Source organism: Homo sapiens, chromosome 6, assembly GCF_000001405.40.
Source record: "Homo sapiens chromosome 6, GRCh38.p14 Primary Assembly".
Classification (NCBI taxonomy): Eukaryota; Metazoa; Chordata; class Mammalia; order Primates; family Hominidae; genus Homo; species Homo sapiens.
In genome coordinates this window covers 105646811-105666222 of record NC_000006.12, presented here as the reverse complement: position 1 = coordinate 105666222, position 19412 = coordinate 105646811, and the positions used below count along the sequence as shown (strand labels likewise).

Sequence of the window (19412 nt, the reverse complement as noted above, 5' to 3'; positions counted from 1 at the left end):
TGCGCACTGCAGGCCCCGACCCCTCGTGAGCGGGACCGGAGTTTTAATTTTTATTTCTGTTTTTTGAGACAGAGTGCTCTGTCCCCCAGGTTGGAATGCAGTGGCACAATCTCAGCTTACTGCAACCTCCAGCTACTGGGCTCAAGCAATCCTCCCACCACAGCCTCCATAGTAGCTGGGACTACAGGGAAGTACCACAATGCCCGGCTAATTTTTGTAGAGGCAGGGCCTTGCTATGTTGCCCAGGCTGTTCTCGAACTCCTGGACTCAAGCAATCCTCCAACCTCAGTCTCCCAAAATGCTGGGATTATAGGTGTGAGCCATCGCACCCAGCCATGTATGTGTTTTTAATAGTCAATAAATGGGGTGCTATCAATTTCATTCTGTAACTTGATTTTTAAAAATCATCTTTCGATTTTTAAGATCTTCCCTCATATACATGTTCATCCAATAATTCATTGCTTCTAACTGCTTCATGGTACTCCACAATGTGTTGCCATCATATTTGATTTCTCTATTCCTTTAGTAGTGAGCACTTAGGTTGCCTCCAACTCTTGCTACAGTGAGATATTCTCATATATGTCTCTTTACAGCATACAGGTATGTCTCATTTTATTGAATGTCACTATTATACTTTGCAGATATTGTGTTTTTCTCAAACTGAAGGTTTATGGCAACCCTGTGTCAAGTAAGTCTATCAGTGCCATTTTTTCAACAGCATGTGCTCACTTTGCATCTCTGTGTCACAGTTTCATAATTCTTGCAATATTTCAGATGTTTTCATTATTGTTATACCTGTTATAGTGATCTGTGGTCAGTAATCTTTGATGTTGCCATTGTAATTGTTTTGGTGCCATGAACCGTGCACATAGAAGACAGTAAACTTAATCTATAAATATGTGTTCTTACTACTTCACCAAATGGATGTCCCCTCAACTCTCTCCCTCTCCTCACGGCTCCCTATTACCCGAGACACAATAATATTGAAATTAAGTCAATTTATAACCCTACAATGGTATCTCACTGTTCAAGTGAAAGGAAGAGTCACACACCTCTCACTTTAAATCAAAAGCTAGAAATGAATAAGCTTAATGAGGAAGGTATGTTGAAAGCTGAAATAAGCCAAAACTAGGCCTCTTGCACCAAACAGATAGCTCAGCAGTTAGCCAAACAGTTAGTTGTGAATGCAAAGGAAAAAAAATCATGAAGGAAATGAAAAGTGCTACTTCAGTGAATACATGAAGAATAAGAAAGGGAAACAGTCTTATTGCTGATATGGAGAAAGTTTGAGTGGTCTGCATAGAAAATCAAACCAGCCACAACACTCTCCTAGAGTGGAGAAGTTAATGTCTGTCTTCAAATATTCAAACAACAGGCTGACTCTCTTTTTAGGGGCTAATGAAGCTAGTGACTTTAAGTTGAACCCAATGCCCATATACCATTCAAAAAATCCTAGGGCTCTTAAGCATTATGCTAAATCTACTCTGCTTCTGTTCCGTAAATGGAACAACAAAGCTTGGCTGACAGCACATCTGTTAGCACCATGGTTTACTGGATATTTTAAGCCCACTGTTAAGACCTACTGCTCAGAAAAAAAGATTACTTTCCATAGATTACTACTCATTGACAGTGTATCTAGTCATCTGAGAGCTCTGATGGAGATGTACAAGGATATTAATGTGTTTTTCATCACAGCCTTCATTCTCCAGTGCATGAATCCAGGAGAAATTTCAACTTCCAAGTCTTGTTCTTTAAGGAATACATTTCCTAAGGCTATAGCTGCCATAGACAGTGATTCCTCTGATGCATCTGGGGAAAGTAAATTGAAACCATTCTGGAAGGAATTCACCATTCTAGATGTCATTAAGAACATTCGTGATTCATGAGAGAAGGTCAAAATAACAACATTAGCAAGAATTTGGAAGAAGTTGATTCCAACCCTCATGGATAACTTTGAGGAATTCAATATTTCAGTGGAGGAAGTAACTGCAAATGTGGAAACAGCAAGAGAACTCAAATTAGAAGTGGAGGTCAGGTGCGGTGGCTCACACCTGTAATCCCAGGACTTTAGGAGGGTGAGGCAGATGGATCACCTGAGGTCAGGAGTTCGAGACTAGCCTGACCAACATAGTGAAACCCCATCTCTACTAAAAATACAAAAATTGGCTGGATGTGATGGTGGACACCTGTAATCCCAGCTACTCAGGAGGCTGAGGCAGGAGAATCACTTGAACCCAGGAGGCGGAGGTTTGCAGTGAGCTGAGATCATGCCATTGCACTCCAGCTTGGGGGACAAGAGTGAAGCTTTGTCTCAAAAAAAAAAAAAATTAGAAGTGGAGCTGGAAAATGTAACTGAATTGCTGCAATCTCATGATAAAACTTTAATGAACAAAGAGTAGTTTACTGAGTTTATTGAGGTGGAATCTATTCCCGATGAAGATGCTGTGAACATTGTTGAAATGACAACAAAAGATTTAGAATATTTCATAAACTTAGTTGATAAAGCAATGACAAGATTTGAGAAGACCGACTTCAATTTTAAAAGTATTGTAGGTAAAATGCTATCAAACAGCATTTCAAGTTACAGAAAAATCATTCAGGAAATTAAGAGTCAATCCATGCAGCAAACTTCATTGTTGTCTTATTTTAAGGAATGGCTACAGCCACTCTACACTTCTGCAGTCACCACCCTGAACAGTCTGTAGCCATCAACATCGAGGCAAGACCTACCATGAAAAATATTATAACTTGCTAAAGTCGAGATTATTATCAGCATTTTTAGCAATAAAATATTTTTGCACAAAATCTGTACCTTGTTTTCTAGACATAATGACATTACACACTTCATAGACTTCAGTAGAGTATAAACAAAACTTTTATATGCACTGGGAAATAAAAAAAGTTGAGTGACTTGTTTTATTGCAATATTCACTTTATTGTGGGAGTCTGGAAGCGAACCCACAATATCTCCAAAGTATGCCTGTAAATCCAGAAATGGAATGACTGGGTCATGTGGTAAATGCACACTTTTTTCATATTAATGTTTTTATTGAAGCATAACATAACAAATACAAAAGAGTGTATATAGAGCAAGCATTCAACAGCATAGATTGTGATGAGTTTTCACAAAGTGAGCACACTTAGGTGACAACTACCCAGGGTGACAAGCCCCCATTCACACCCCATGCAGTTTTAGCCACCTCTTCTCCCCAGACAACCTCTACCCTACTCCTAATACATAGGTTTAATTTCTCTTGAAAGTTGAAATGTTTTTAAAGCAAAATAGAGTATTATATTTTTTAAACTTGGAGGAAAAAACAGAAATTTTACACCAAGACCGTGAAGATTTTTTTTCCTGTTTATTTTTATAAGTTTTATTGTTTGACCTTTTGCATTTTGGTCATGATCCATCTCAATTCAATTTTCAATATGGTAATAAGGTCAGGTCACCATCCATCCTTGGCCTGGCTGTTAGCCTAGTGTATTCACCTGGACCCCTTCTTTGGCAGATCTTGAATTCCTATTTTCATCTTATAAAACTGCTGAAAACTCTGATGATTCTCAGAGGCTTTCTACTTCTGTTTTTTTAGCCTCATACACTCCCAATTCAGCAAATGTCCTGACAGGAATTCCAGCTGTGTGTTTGAGGCTCTTCATGTCTCTTTTGGAAATTCTCTGGTTTCGCCATCTCCAGATTCTCAGCTTCTCCCATGACCCAGAATAGGTGAATGATCTTCAGGTAGAGGCTGCTAGCAGCAGCTCACCTCTCTCCAATTTTACACTCTCCAGTCTCAGCCCCTACAGTTCTCTTTGCCTCAACAGCATGTTACTACCTTCAAACAGACTATTTCTGCCTTGAACTTGGCCTTTCTTCTTTTGCTGGACAAGAGTGCCATTCTGCACAGTTACTCCATATGGCCTTACACAACGCACTTTTCATGGTTTTTGATTTAACCCCCAAATGACTGGGAGAGGTGGGTGCAGTGTTCTTCTCTTTACAGAAGAGGGTTTTGAACCCAGGCTTTTTTATGTCCAAATCATACACTATTTTCACAAGACTCTTTACCATTGCTGTCAGGATGGCTGAGCCAGAACCTGGCCTCTCCCTAAGTCATCAACTCCTCTTATGAGCTATAGCTTCACAATGTTGCTTGGTTATAGCATCCCATCTCATGACCCTCAGTCACAAGGAAAGCCATTGCAGGTGACTCCTCTCCTGTGCTGGGCCTGCCTCTCAGAGCAACTTCTAATTTTCCACTTTTTTCCTTTGTTCATCTTGCTTCACTGAAGACAATCTGTTCACAGTTTCCTTAACATATTGGTATTACTTTTCTCACTTTATACTGACTTTGTGTGCAACTGCCCCCAGGAAGGGAGATGATCACTATCGTTGTCTAGGAGAATCACAGTTATGTAGTTTACCAGTTTATTATAAAGAATATTACAAAGGATATAGGTTAAGAGATGCATAGGGTGAGGATAGTCTCTCTATCCTAATGGCCACTTAATATTATCTGACCTTTTGATTTTTGCAAATCTGATGTGTGCAAAGTATTTCCTATTTTGCATTTTTATAACTGCTATTTCTGTTGAACAGTTCATTATATACTAACTGGTCACTCGGTTTTCCTCTCCATTCTTTCCTGTTGGGTTTCCTGTATTTTCTTTTTAAATTTTTATTAAAAAAAATTTTTTTTGAGACAGAGTCTTGCTTTCTTGCCCAAGCTGGGATATGGTGATACAAACATGGCTCACTACAGCCTTGACCTCCTAGGCTCAAGCAATCCTCCCACCTCAGCCTCCTGAGTAGCTGAAACCACAAGTGTGTGTGCACCACTACATACAGCTAATTTTTTATTTTTTTATAGATACAGGTTCTCGCCCTGTCACCTAGGCTGGTCTTAAACTGCTGGGCTCAAGCGATCCTCCTGCCTTGGCCTCCCAAAGTGCTAGGATTACAGGCATGAGCCACCATGCCCAGCCTTCTTATTGATTTGTGGGGTTATGTGGATATTCTAGTCATTAATACCTTATCGTGTTTAGATAAGGAGACTATATGCCAAATTTATGCCTATCGTCCTAACATAAGTATTAAAAGGACCCTTTTTTACTCTCAAGCATGTTTTTAAGTTTAGATGTTATAAATATCTTTTCCCGGTCTTTGATTCTTCTCTTAATGTTTTCATTGGTGTTTTAATGCTGTCAAATCCGCTAAGTTTTTGCCTTGTGGTTTGTGCTTAAGAAGTCTGTTTTCAATTCAGACTTGTGCTATTAGACATTTAGGTTTTTCTGGCCATTTGCATTTTCAGACAATGCTGTATTGAATATCCTTTTATATCTCTTTGTTCATACGTGTGAGATTTTTTCTAAGTTGTGTATCTGTGTGGCTGAGACTGCTATGTACTAAATAGTTCCCATCTCCTTTTCCTCTGTCCATACAATGGCTGGAATACATTCCACAGCCTCTCTTACAATTGTTAACTGGGTGCCATGTGACTGGCTTCTGGTCAATAGAATGTGGGCAGAAGTGATATAGGATGTGTCCAGTCCTGGCTCATGAAAACTTCCCATAGGGATCCCCCAGTGTTCTTTCTCCTGCCTTCTGGGCAGATACAGAGGATACAATGGAGGACTCAGAAACCCAAAAAGATGGTGGTGCCACCAGATGAAAACACCTTGGGACCTGGGATTACTAGATGGATCCCAGAATACTAAATTGGGATTTATGTAAGCGCAGAAAAAAATTATGTTAAGCTATTAATATTTTGATGTTGTTTGTTACAATAATTTATTAATTGATGATATGTTTTGGCTCTGTGTCCCCACCCAAATCTCATCTCAAATTGTAATCCTCAGATGTTGAGGGGGGGGACCTGGTGGGAGGTGATTGGATCATGGAGGCAGTTCCCCCATGCTGTTCTTGTGATAGTGAGTGAGTTCTCACGAGATCTGATAGTTTGAAAATGTGGCATTTCCTCCATAGCTCTCTCTCTCTCTCCTGCTGCCATGTAAGATGTGCCTTGCTTTCCCTTCACCTGCTGCCATAATTGTAAGTTTCCTGAAGCCTCACTAGCCATGCAGAACTGTGGTCAATTAAACATTTTTTAAATAAATTACCCAGTCTCAGGTCATTCTTTACAGCAGTGCAAAAATGGACTAATAGAGTTGAAAAAAGCATGCAGAACTTGAAAACTATAAAATATTGTTGACGAAAAACTAAATACAAGAGAGAAACGTTGTGTTTCTGAAGTGGAAAATGATTTTAAGATTTCATTTCTTCTCAGATTCATCTATAGCTTCAATGTAATCTTAGTCAAAATCCTATCAAACTTCATTCTAAAAATTGACAAATTGATTCTAAAATTTATATAGAAATATAAAGTGCTTAGAATTGCAATAACAACTTTGAAAAAGGAGAACAGTGTTGGAAGACTTATACTAGATGATTTTAAGGCTTATTATAAAGGTACAATAGTCAAGATACTATGATATTTGTATAAAAGAGGCATATTTATCAATGGGACAGAATAGAGACTCTAGAAATAAATCCACACATATATAATCAATTAATTTTTAACAAAGATAGCAAGGCAATTCAGTGTGAAAGAAAAATCTTTTCAACAAATTATGCTCAAACAATTAGTCAAATGAAAAAAATTAACTCACACTACATACACAAATGAACTCAAAATGAATTATAATTGTAAAACAAAATTATAAAACTTCTGTAAGACAACATAGGAGAAAATATAGTGCACCTTTGGATTGGCAAAGATTTCTTAAATTCTATAGCAAAAGCAAGAACTAAAAAAACTTAATATATAAATGGAATTTAATGCACCATTTTTAAAAAGTTTGCCCTTCAATCAATATTCTTACAAAAATAAAAAGGCAAGACACAGATTGAGTGAAAATATTGGCAATATCTGACAAAAAGCCTATATCTAGAATATGTAATAAATTCTTCCAATTTAATGACAACCTAATTTTTAAAACAGGCAAAAGATTTGAATGAATAGTTCATCAAAGAAGATATACAGATAGGAATAAGCACATAAAAAGATGTTCAACTTGATTAATCACTAGGGGAAATGCCAAGTAAAACCACGATAATATTACTGTCGATGTTCATTAGAGTGAATAAAATTCAAGACTTCGTATCAAAATTTTGGTGAGGATACAGAGCAACTGGAACTCTCATATACTGCTGGTGGAAATGTAAAATGGTATTTTAAAAAGGAGTTTCACAATTTCTTTAAAATTTAAACATGCGTATACATCACAGTACTATGTCCTAGTCCATTTTCCACTGCTATAATAGAATACCATAGACTGGGTAATTTACGAAGAAAAAAAGTTTATTTGGCTCATGGTTCTGGTGGTTGGGAAGTCCAAGAATATGGTGTCAGCATCTGGCAAGGGACTTTGCATTACATCATAACAGGGGGAAGTAATTTCATGATGAGAGAGGGTTAGAGTGTATGAGACGCAGAGAGAAATGAGTGCCAAACTTTATCCTTTTATCAGGAACCCACTCCTGAGATAATGGCATTAATCCATTCATGAAGGCAAAGCCTCATAACCTAACTACCTGTTAAAGGCCCCACTTCCCAATATTCTTAGATTGGCAATTAAATTTTAACATGAGTTTTGGAGGGCACATTAAAACCATAGCATTCTGTCCCTGGCCTTTTCATGTGCAAAATACATTCATTCTATCCTAGTAGCCCCAAAAGTTTTAACTTGTTCCAGCATTAACTCAGAAGTCCAAAGTCCAGAGTCTCATCTAAATTGGATGTTAAGACTCAAGGAACCATTTATCCAGAGGCAAATTCCCTTCAGCTGTGAGCATTGAAATGAAAAGAAATTATCTCCTTCCAAAATACAATGGTGGGACAGGCATAGCATAGATATTCCCATTACAAAGTGAAACAATAGGTGGGAAAAAAAAGAGAGAAAGAGTAACTGGTCTTAGGTAAGTCCAAAACCCAACAGAGAAAACAACATTAAATCTTAAGCTAGTGAATAATCTCTTTTCACTCTATGTCCTGCAACCTGGGTACACTGGGGTGGGTGTTGAGCCCCCAAGACCTCAGGCACCCCTATCCCTAAGGCTTTGCTGGGCTCAACCCATGTGTCAGCTCTCTCAGGTTGGAAGCTCATGTCTGCAGCTCTTCTGGGCTGATGTTGCACACTGTTAGCTCTGAAATTCTAGGGTCTTCGTGGTGGTCCCACTGCCATAGCTCCGCTAGACATTGCCCTTGTGAGGACTCTCCATGGAAGCTCCAACACCACATTTCCACTCAGCGTTGTCCTAGTAGGAGCTCTCTGTGGTGGCTCCACATCTGTGGCAAGTTTCTGCCTGGGCTCCCAGGTTATCCACAACATCCTTTAAAAAAATCTAAGTGAAGAAAGCTATGCCTGTATACCTCTTGCATTCTGCAGGCCTACAGACAACACCACTTTCACCTTCTGGAGTGGTGGGTTAAGCTGCACCTAGGCCTGCTTGAGCCACAGCAGGAGCAGCAGAGGGGTGGGAACACTGCTCTGGAATGCAGGGAGCAGAGACACAAGGCAGCTCTGGGTTGCAAGTCTACAAAAGTCTGTAGAGGCTACCCCAGGCCCAACCCCTGAAACTGTTCTGACCTCCTTGAGCTCTGGGCCTGTGATGGGAGGGATAGCCTCAGAGATCCCTGAAATGCATTTGGAGTCTTTCTCCCTTTGTCTTGATGAATAGCACCTGGCTTCCTTCTAGCCATATTAATCTCTTCAGCAAATAGTCAATTGGCCACACCCTTAGTCTTTTCTCCCAAATATGCTTTTTTACTCTTTACATGACCAGAATGTAAATTTTTCAAGACTTTTCATTCTGCTTCTCTTTTAATTTTAAATTCTGTCTTTAAGTTTTCTCTATCTTCTCACATCTCACTGTATGTGTTAAAAGTAGCCACTCAGCAGCTTGAATGCTTTGCTACTTAGATATTTCTTCTTCCAGATATCCTAATTCATCGTTCTTAAGTCCTGCATTCCATAATGCCTGAGGGCAGCAGTCCACTGTAATACAAAGAGACACCCTAAGGGATGTCCTGTATTACAGACATACTCCTCTTTACTTCCATTGTGGAGTAGTAGTCAAATTTGCCCTTGGTAGTCAGAATCAATTACCCCAGCCAGCAAGTAACTCCCTTCTATAACTATGGATTCAGAGGCATGAAGAATCCAAAGTGGCCAGATTTCCAGTTCAATGATACCATTTTTGTGTCTCCTCTTTGCTCCCTTTGAAAGTAGGATATCTAGGCCAGCAAGTTATAAGGTCATGGGAACAAGAAGCAAAAATTTTACTAGTGGGTCACGAGGGGTAATAGTGAACTAGGGGTAATAGTGAGTGGTGCCACTCCCGTGTCTGTCTCTTGATTCCTAGAACAATGAGCCCTGGCTATGGGGGAAACAGCACCACGTATTTGATGCCAATTCAAAGCATATACAGTCTTCTAGAGAACATTGCCCAGGCTCTTTAAGGTATTGACACCTAGCTGGTATTATATCTGAGTATTATATATTCCAAAGGCCATCTCACTATTTTATCAAGCTACTAGCTGCTTCCAGACGGTAAGGAACATGGTAAGACTGGTAAGTTCCGTGAGCATGAACCCATTGCTGCATTTCTTTTGCCATGAAATGAGTTCCTTGATCCAAAGAAGTGTGCGTGGAATACTGTGCTAATGAATAAGGCATTCTGTAAGTCCATGTATGGTAGTTTTGACAGAAGCCTGTGTACAAGGAAGGCAAATCCATATTCAGGGTAAATATTTATTCCAGTAAAGAAAAAATGCTGCCCTTTCCATGATGGATGTAGTCCATTGTAATCAGTCTGCCTCTAGGTAGTTGGCTGATCACCCCAGGAAATAGTGCCATATTCGGAAAACAATGTTGGTCTCTGCTGTGGGCACATTGTGCACCCATCAGTGGCCATAAGCAGATTAGCCTTTGTAAGTGAAGTCCATGTTGCTGAGCCCAGGCATAACCTCCATTCCTGTGACCATGGCTACTTTGTTCATAAGCTCCCTGGGCAATGAAAGGGTAGCTGGGGAAAGAAGCTGACTGGTACCCACAGGACACATCATTCTATCCAATTGATTATTAAAATCCTCGTCTGCTGAAGCCACCCTTTGGTGAATATACACATGGGACACAAATATCTCCACATCTTTTTGCCCATTTGAAGAGGTCTATCTGCATATGTCTTACCCAAATTTCCTTGTCACCAACTTTCCAATCATGTTCCTTCCAAGGCCCTGAACATCCAGCTAAACCATTGGCCAGAGTCCCTGAAATGGTATATAATCACATGACTGGCCATTTCTCTCTTCAAAGAAAGTGAACAATCAGATGCACTTCCAGGATGAATTCCCTTCACCACTGCCTTTTAGTGTCTGTAGTGCTGCAGCTGTCCACTTTCAGGTGGTGGTGCCTGCATACAGTGCAAAACCATCAGTAAACCAGGCCTGAGTCTTTTCTTCCTTTCTCAGCTGATTGTAGGAAACTTCCTATGAGGCCATAGTTACAGGCTGGGAGAATGAAGGCAATGTAGCATGTAGCAGGCGTAAAAACCATAGACCTTTTGGTCATTTTTTCATGTAACTTACTTGTGCCTTTAGGTCCTTCTCAGGACTGATCTCACATATACCGCTTGAGGTGGTGAGGACGTGAGGATGGAGTGCTGCTGTGTATGTTCAACTTTATGGCATTGTAGGTCAGATAATACCCAGTTCACAATGGGCAGTTCAGGTTGCATGGTAACTTGATGGCCCATGGTTAAGCCTTCAGTCTCTACTAAGGCCCAGTACCAGGACAAGAGCTGATTCTCAAAGGAGAATTAGTTATCCATAGAAGATGGCAGGACTTTGCTCCAAAATCCTAATGGTCTGCACCATGAGTCAACTATAGGGGCCTGCCAGCTCCTCCAAAACATATCCCTACTCCTGCTTCAAGCACCATGGATCTGCTGGATCATGTGGCCCAAGTGTCAGAGTACATGCAGCTTGGATTTATTGCAGAGACTTCTCTTGTTCTGGGTCCCATTTGAAACTAGTCCTGAACTCAGACTTCCTACCTCTAGAACTGTCAAAAAATTAATTTCTGTTGTTAAAGCCACCAATCTGTGGTATTTTGTTACAACAGTCTGAGCCAACTAAGATGATAACCAACTGAAATTTATCCTAGGAATGCAACATTAGTCTAACATCGACAAATTAATTAATGTATTAAACTACATCAACAGATTAAAGAACAAAAACCACACAGTTATCACAATAGATGAGAAAAAAGCACTTGACAAAATTCAACATACATTTGTAATAAAAACATTCAACAGCTAGGAATAGAAGAGAACATCCTCAACCTGATAAATCTGTGAAATACCCACAGCCAACTTTACATTTAATGGTGAAAAATAATATGTTTTCCCTCTAATATCAGGAACAAAATAAAAATTTTCACTCTGTCACTTGTATTCAACATTGTACTGAAGGTTCTAGCCAGGGCAATTAAGCAAGAAAATAAAATTAAAAGCATACAAATTGGAAAGTAGTAAAACTATTTTTATTTGTAGATGATATGTTCATGTGTATAGGAGCATGTTTATAGGAAGTCTTTTGAATACACTAAAGAACTGTTAGAACAAATAAATGAGTTTAGCAAAGTTACAGGATACCAGATTAATACACAAAAATCTGTATTTGTATACAGTAGCAATGAGTAAACTAAAAATGTAATTAAGGAAACAATTCTATTTACAATAATCAAAAAAGATGAAATAGTAAATTTAACAAGGAAATGCAAAACTTATACTCTGAAAACTATAAAATCTCATTGAAGAAAATTTTAAAATTTCTAAATAAATGGAAAGACATCCCATGTTCATGGATTTGAAGAATTAATATTGTTAAGATTCAGTGCTCCCCCAAATAATCTATAGATTTAATGCAGTCCTTATCAAAATTCCAGCTGCTTTTCTGACACAGTTGACAAACTGATCCCAAAATTCATATGAAAATGTAGGAACCAAGAATAACCAAAACAATCTTACAAAGAAAAAGTTGAAGGACTTCTTCATTTTAAACTTATCTCAAGACAGTATGCTTCTGGCTTAAGGATAGATATATAGATAAATGGAATAGAGTGAAGGGTCTAAAAATACATTGGGCTTCAGCAGGCTGCCAAGACTATTCAAGGGGGAAAAATATTCTTTTCTACAAATGATGCTGAAGAGAATGGATATTCATATGTAAAAGAATGAAATTGGATACCTATTTCATACCATACACAATAATTAACTAAAAATCAATCCAAGACCTAAATGTAAGTGCTAGAACTGTAAAACCCTTAAAGAAAACATAGGTGTAAATCTTTGTGACCTTAGACTGACAGTGGTTTCTTAGCTATAACATGAAAGGCACAAGCAACCAAAAGACATGTATAGATAAATTGGACTTTAAAACTAAAGTTTTGTATTTCAAGGGACACTGCCAAGAAAATTAAAAAAAAAAAACAGCCCACAGAGATGGAGAAAATATTTGTAAATCATTTGTCTTATAAGTATTTCTTGTCCAGAAAGAACTAAATTAAAGAGCCATAAATTCATCAATAAACAGGCAACTCAATTTTAAAATGAGCAAAGCATTTGAACAGATATTTTCTTCAAAGAATATATAAAATGCCCAATAAGTACATGAAAAGATATTCAGCATCATTAGTCATTAGGAAAATGCAAATCAAAACCACAACGAGACACCAATTCACACCCATGAAAATAGCTACAATCAAAGAAATGGAAAATAAGTGTTGAGGAGGTTGTGGAGATATTGGAACCCCTCATACATTGCTGACAGAAATCTAAAATGGTGCAGCCATTTTGAAAAAGAGCTTGGCATTTCTTTAAAAAGTTGAACATAGAGTTACCGTATGACCCACTTCTAGGTATATATTCAAGAACTGAAGACTTATGTTCACACAAAAACTTGTGCACCAATATTCATAGCAGCACTATTCATAATAGCCAAAAAGTGGAAACATCCCAGATCAACTCAATGTCTAAAAACTGATGAATGTACAAACAAAATTTGATAATTTCATACAATGGGATATTATTTAGCCGTTAAAAAAGAATTATTGATACTTGCCACAATATGGATGAACCTTGAAAAAATTACACTAAGTAAAAGAAGCCAGACACATAAGGCCACATAGTGTATGATTCTATTTATTTGAAATGTCCATAAAAGGCATATCCATAGTGACAAAAAGATAGTGGTTTCCAGGGGCTTAGGGGTGGGGGAAATCAGGAGTGACTGCTATTGGATATGAGATTTCTGTGAGGTGGTAAAAATGTTGTGAAATTAGATAATGATGATGATTTCATAACCTTGAAAATATACTAAGAAACAGTCCCCATTCAATCAGACACTTTTAAAGAGTGAATTTTATGGTATGTGAATTATATCTCAATTTTGTTTTGTTTTGTTTTGAGACAGAGTCTCACTGTGTCGCCTAGGCTGGAGTGCAGTGGCACGATCTCAGCTCACTGCAACCTTCGCCTCCCAGGTTCAAGCGATTCTCCTGCCTCCGCCTCCTGAGTAGCTTAGATTACAGGAGCACACCACCATGCCTAGCTAATTTTTGTATTTTTAGTAGAGATGGGGTTTCGCCATGTTGGTCAGGCTGGTCTCAAACTCCTGACCTCGTGATCCGCCCGCCTCTGCCTCTCAAAGTGTTGGGATTATAGGCGTGAGCCACCACACCTGGCCTCAATTTTTAAAATCCAGAACTCTCTGTACTGGTGTAACTACATAATAAGACTTAATAGGCTCATCCTGGAAAATGTGGGCAGAAGCTTGCTTTTTGACTCTTTCTTGGTGCTTCTGTTATTCATCAGTTGGGTTTAGCTGCTCCTAGCATGTTCAAAGCCTCTATTCCACCCAAGTCGTTATTATCTCCTCCTTTTCCCTGTCTCTGAGAGGGGCTGTAAGACTCACGGCTGTGCCCTTGTGGCTTGGTGTGTGGTCAGCCACTTCTGTGTCAACTCTCTTGCTTTCTGGTGCCAGTGTCTTATGAGTGTGCTCACAGTGGTGATCAAAAGAAGAGAGAATATTCTTGATGTGATGAGCTGATTTCCTCTTTTTTGAGGAGCAGGATGGGACCCCTTCTGAGCCTGGTCAGTTGGCTATCCTGGAGGGAATTGAGTGAGTGCTACCTTTTTCTCATTTTTACCTGCACAGATACCATTTGGACAAAGTGCTGCCACTCATCTCAGCCCTGGGTCCTCTGTGAATCTGGTCCACAGGAAACCTCTGTTACTGATGGGAATGTTCACACCCTCAGGTGTTGGTGTATGGAGAAGGATAGGGATCACTACAGGTCCCAGCCCACTGTGCAGATGCTTATCTTACATTTTGGCTTCTAGAAAAAGCAAAGGAATCTCTGAAATGAATAATTCTGCACTTTCAGGTATTTTAAGCCTCTAAGAGAAGAGAAAATCTCTTTATGCTTGGAAAATCAGAATTGGGGTAATATCCCGAATTCTTCTAAAAGTTTTCCCTTCAAAAACTACCCCAAAATGCAAATGAGAACAAACATTCAGGATGCCATCAGAGCTTATAGATTTTATTTCCCACTGAAATTGAAGTATTTATGAATTATCATTTTTCTTGTTTTCTTATCCTGTCTTTTTCTTAACTAGACCTTCATCTTTTCTGTATTCTTTCTACTCAAATTTGTTTCTTCCTTTCTATCTCTAAACAAAGAAGAACTACGTAATTTTAATTACCTTGACACTGTTGTTGGCCTCTGGTCTCTTCAATTATTCAGCATTTTATTTTTGAAAGATGAATCAATGAAGTTAACTGAATTCTCAGTGACTAATAATGCTTATCTTCCTCTCAAAGATGATGTGAGAATCTACACCTAAATGAATAGTGTTCACAGAAAAGCAAGTTACTTAGATGTTAAATGATCATTTAGGAAATATATGGTTACTTAAAACACCCTCAAATGTATTGAAATATTTATCTAGGTGTTATCATGCCATTTCAGAAACCTTTATCATGAGGTTCCGCAAACATTTATAAGGCAAAGGTTTTTCAGAATATCTACCTTGGCTGTACCAACAGACCAAAGGTCACTTTCTTAGTAAACAATAAACATTTTATTAAATATTTGTGAAAGTTTAATTAGGATAAGTTTGAGGTGGTAACATGCTATTCTTGCTGATTCAAGGATCGCTATTCTACTAAACTGGTACAATAGTAGAGGTGAGAAAAATGCACTGTAAAAGTTATGTTTTTCAGATGTCATCAAATGAGAGTAATGAGTTCAGTCACAGTGTCCTGCCTCCTCCAATTTTGCTTCTTCAAGCTAAAGGCCCTGCCTCTTTTTTAGCCAAAACATTGTCATTTATCCATTTATTTTGCACATTTAAACAGAAGAGTAGAATTTCATGTTTGGCTTTTACAAACTCCCTAAATCATTTTTTTTCAGCTTTAAAAATGAGTATATTAATACTGATGCAAAGGTTGAGGCGACAGTGTTTATAATGTTTCCTGAGATCTGCAGATGAAAGGTAGATGTTGATGTTATAATAGTGTAATCTGGATTGTTATTGAAAGCTTCTGTGTTCTCAGAGTCAGATTTAAAGAGATCTCAATCTCTTTCTTGTGGGCTTAGAATGCTTTTAAAAATTGTCAAAAGAAAACCATTTCCTTCACTATTCAAAAAAATTGAAAGAGAAGAACTTCTGAATATTTATTCAGAAGTAGTTCAAAAAATAGCTGGTTTTATTTTATTTTGCAGAGGATTAGAAATGTAGTTTAAACTACAAAAAAGGAGTTTTTCAATATTTCAGAAAGAATCATTGGTATATTGAAAGAGCAGATTTGAGGCCGAGTACAATTGCTCATGCCTGTAATCCCAGCACTTTGAGAGGCCAAGGCGGGTGGATCACCTGAGGTCAGGCATTTGAGACCAGCCTAGCCAACATGGTGAAACTCTGCCTCTACTAAAAATACAAAAAATTAGCTGGGTGTAGTGGCACATACCTGTAGTCCCCGCTACTTGGGAGGCTGAGGCACGAGAATCACTTGAACCCGGGAGAAGGAGGTTGCAGTGAACCAAGATCGCACCACTGTACTCCAGCCTGGGCAACAGAGTGAGACTCTGTCTCAAAAAAAAAAAAAAAAATGTGGATTTGAGAAATGACAGCAAACCCAGAATTATTAATGGGAAAATAAAAATAGAAATGTAATATGATGTTGAGTTATATTTATGTAGAGCTTTAAAGTTTACAAAGTGTTTTTATCTTAACTCAGTCTATCCTCACAACATCTCTCTTGGAGGAAAACCTGTGTTTTATGTCTGAGGAAACTGATATTTGGGGAGGCTAAATCACTTGCCCCAGGCTATATGGCTGGTATCTTGTCGATGTCGAACTTGAACCTGCATCTTCTGATTCTTGGGCAATGATTGTTCTGTCCTTTAGAAAGGAAGATAGAACTTCTGCTTTGCTATTGGCTGTTTTCAGGGAAATCAGAAGATAAGAAAGAAAGACAATATTTCTAGCAGTTTGCTTTAAAGTGGTTGACAAAAATACATTGGTCCACACTACTCTAGTCACCTGCTTCTTTTGCATGAATTTTGGCCAGGTGAAGACTTAGCCTGAGAGGGAAGAAGGACCTGCTTTTAGACCTTCATCAGATGTCTTAAGTCACTTATAGGGAGTCATTCTGTTATTTCTTACCTCATGCTTTCTCTTTCTGTGGACATAAGTTTGTAGTGATATCTCATTCACAGAACATAGTAGTATACAGGAACAGAAAAGAAGGGAGGGATGGGCGGTGGATGGTAAGTGTGAGCAGGTGTTGGAGAGATGCTAAGCTCAGGCCACAGTTCAACTTCACAGGAAGTTGAAGAGCTACTTAGCCTTTCCTAAAACTCAAACTTTCTAAAACATTGACAATAAGGACAAGTAATTGATGGGTAGAAAATGGAGAAATGGTCATGGGAGGAAAGAGATAAAATAGGTTTAGAACATTTACTTATTTACTTGTCTCCAAAATTAACACTTCCACAAGCTTGATGAATGGGGACCTTGTGCATGGTTACATTTACCATCTTACAGCTTTCCTCTCGGTTAGTGAATTTAACAATATGAATGAAAATAGATGACACAATTTTGAAGTTGATAAAGGTTTTTTGTTTTGTTTTGTTTTGTTTTTTACTTAAGTCACCAAAGGATGGGTGGGCTCTAAATAGGAAATGGAAGAGGTAAAGAAGCAGGTCATATTGAAAACAAAAAATAATAAAAAATTTCCCCAGAGGAAATACCCCTTTCTAGAGCATACTAAACTCTTAGTTGCCATATGTTGCTTGAAAAAAAAAGTTATATACCACATTTTTTCATAATACAAACTATAGAAAATGAGGTTATAGGAAATCTTTTTAGCTGAAGGAGATCTTCAGAAAAGTGAGAAATCATCTGGGTGGAGGGGCTTTAGTTAGAGAAGTCTGAAAAACCCCAAATAAAAGGAATCAGCAGTTCCTAGAAGGAAACAGTTTGGTAGGAAAAAGGGATTATCCCAACTAAACGGCTAATGAAAACTGATAGCTTGAGTGGCTTCTGCTTGACAAGGAGATTGTCACTGTTGACAGGGTTGACTGGCAGGGTGGAAAAATGAGGGGGATAAAGCTTCACAGAAAGACTTCAGAGGAAACTTGACACCTTCAAAACCACAGGTGTGAGGGTAAGTGAAACCGTCAAGTAAAAGTTGGCGTTGTTTTTCAGGATCTGATGTTCTGCATACTTTAGGTTCAAAATTTAGGAGTTTAAGGGGAACACTGAGATAAGTTGGGACATGGGAGGTTAGGAATCGAGGAGTCAGAGGACTCTTTTCTGCCCGTGAAGGGACTCCGTAGACTCTTAAATGTATTCCACAGTACTTTCTAGAGCTCTAAGAAGACAGGCTAGCTTTTTTCTCTACCAGCCCAGCCTGTTTCAAATCACAGGCTTCAATAGGCTTTCTAACCTAGCTCTCAAAGGTGATTTATTGAGTGTCTGTTATGTCCAAGATGCTGAGCGTGGAGTGTGTGAATACATAAACATGTTTGAACACTTGTTCCTTGCCTTCAAGGGTTTCATCTCAATGAAAAAATGGGATAGAATGAATTCTGCCTCAAGATGAATTATTCTCAAATAGAACTAACAGTAAAAAGTAAAACACAAAAAACACAAATGCCAAGTAAATAGCATTAACATTAAATGCTATAAAAATTCAGAGATGGAGGTGACAGGAGTTGAAGAAGCCCTTTTTGGGAGAGGTGGAAGTTGAGTTACATCTTTAAGGCGGAATAGAATTCAGACAGCCTGGGTAAGGGTGGGGGGAGGAGGGAATGTGAAGAAATGGGGAAGAATGGTAGGACACTCCCAAAGGGGTAAAGAAACTACTGGAGTAAGGGGAACAGAGGATTACATTTAATAACTCTAAGATGCACCCCCTGGGAAAACAAACAGTGGAATTTGTAACAATTATTTTTGTTTGGCTCTTGAAGCTGAGCATTTATGTCTGTTGAGGATATAAAAAGTTCAGTGTTCTAAATGGGAAGAGAATGACCTGAAGTGAATGGCAGAATGGGCTCTGGGGACACTGGACCTAGGGCTGCACCCTGGCTCTGCCATTTGTGAGTGGTGTGATCTCCAATGAGTTCACGTTTTCATGCCTCAGGCTCCTAATTTTTAATTTGGGATAATATTAGTATCAATAGTATCTAATTCATAGGGAGCTGTGGGGATTAAGAGATAAAGTATTTATTATGCTTATAGTGTTGGGCACATAGAAGGAGCTCAATACATCTTTATTATTTTTATATTAATATAAAATAACAATAATAATGGTAATAAAATCTCAAAGCCAAGTAAGCATCATGAAATTTTTCACGTGCCCATGAGCACAGAGGAGATCTTCAGAACCTACTGTTTTCTGATCTCCAAGAAAGATGGAGAAAAGAAAATTATAGCATTTTTCTTTCATTTTTTCTTCCTTCCTCTTTTTTTTTCTAGAATAAAGAGATGAGGAAAATGCAAGACAGTCCATGTCGCTCTTGGCTGTTCTCTGCTACTCCCCCCAGGTTCAGGGGTCTGTGAGTGGTCGTGAGAACCCCACCCCCAGGCTTCTGCTTGGGTCCTTATCATAGTGGCCTCTCCTGCTACCCAGTGAGAGTTCACTGTTCTGGCAAGGGATATGGCTCCCGACTCAAGGAGAAAGGGAGCGCAATGCTTTCCTTCTCCATTATTCTATGGGCAGGTTTAATATCCAGTGCCTCCTATTTATAATTAACATGAAGTTGTTTATTTCTTGCTTCTCATT

At 38.6% G+C, this 19412-nt stretch overlaps 1 annotated feature.

Annotated features, from left to right (window-relative positions):
* Positions 19223–19412: an enhancer, noted in NCBI's record as "active region_24876". NCBI's record gives its function as "activates an Ori minimal core promoter by ATAC-STARR-seq in GM12878 lymphoblastoid cells {active_cell/tissue: GM12878}" and the evidence as "EXISTENCE:reporter gene assay evidence [ECO:0000049][PMID:35858748]".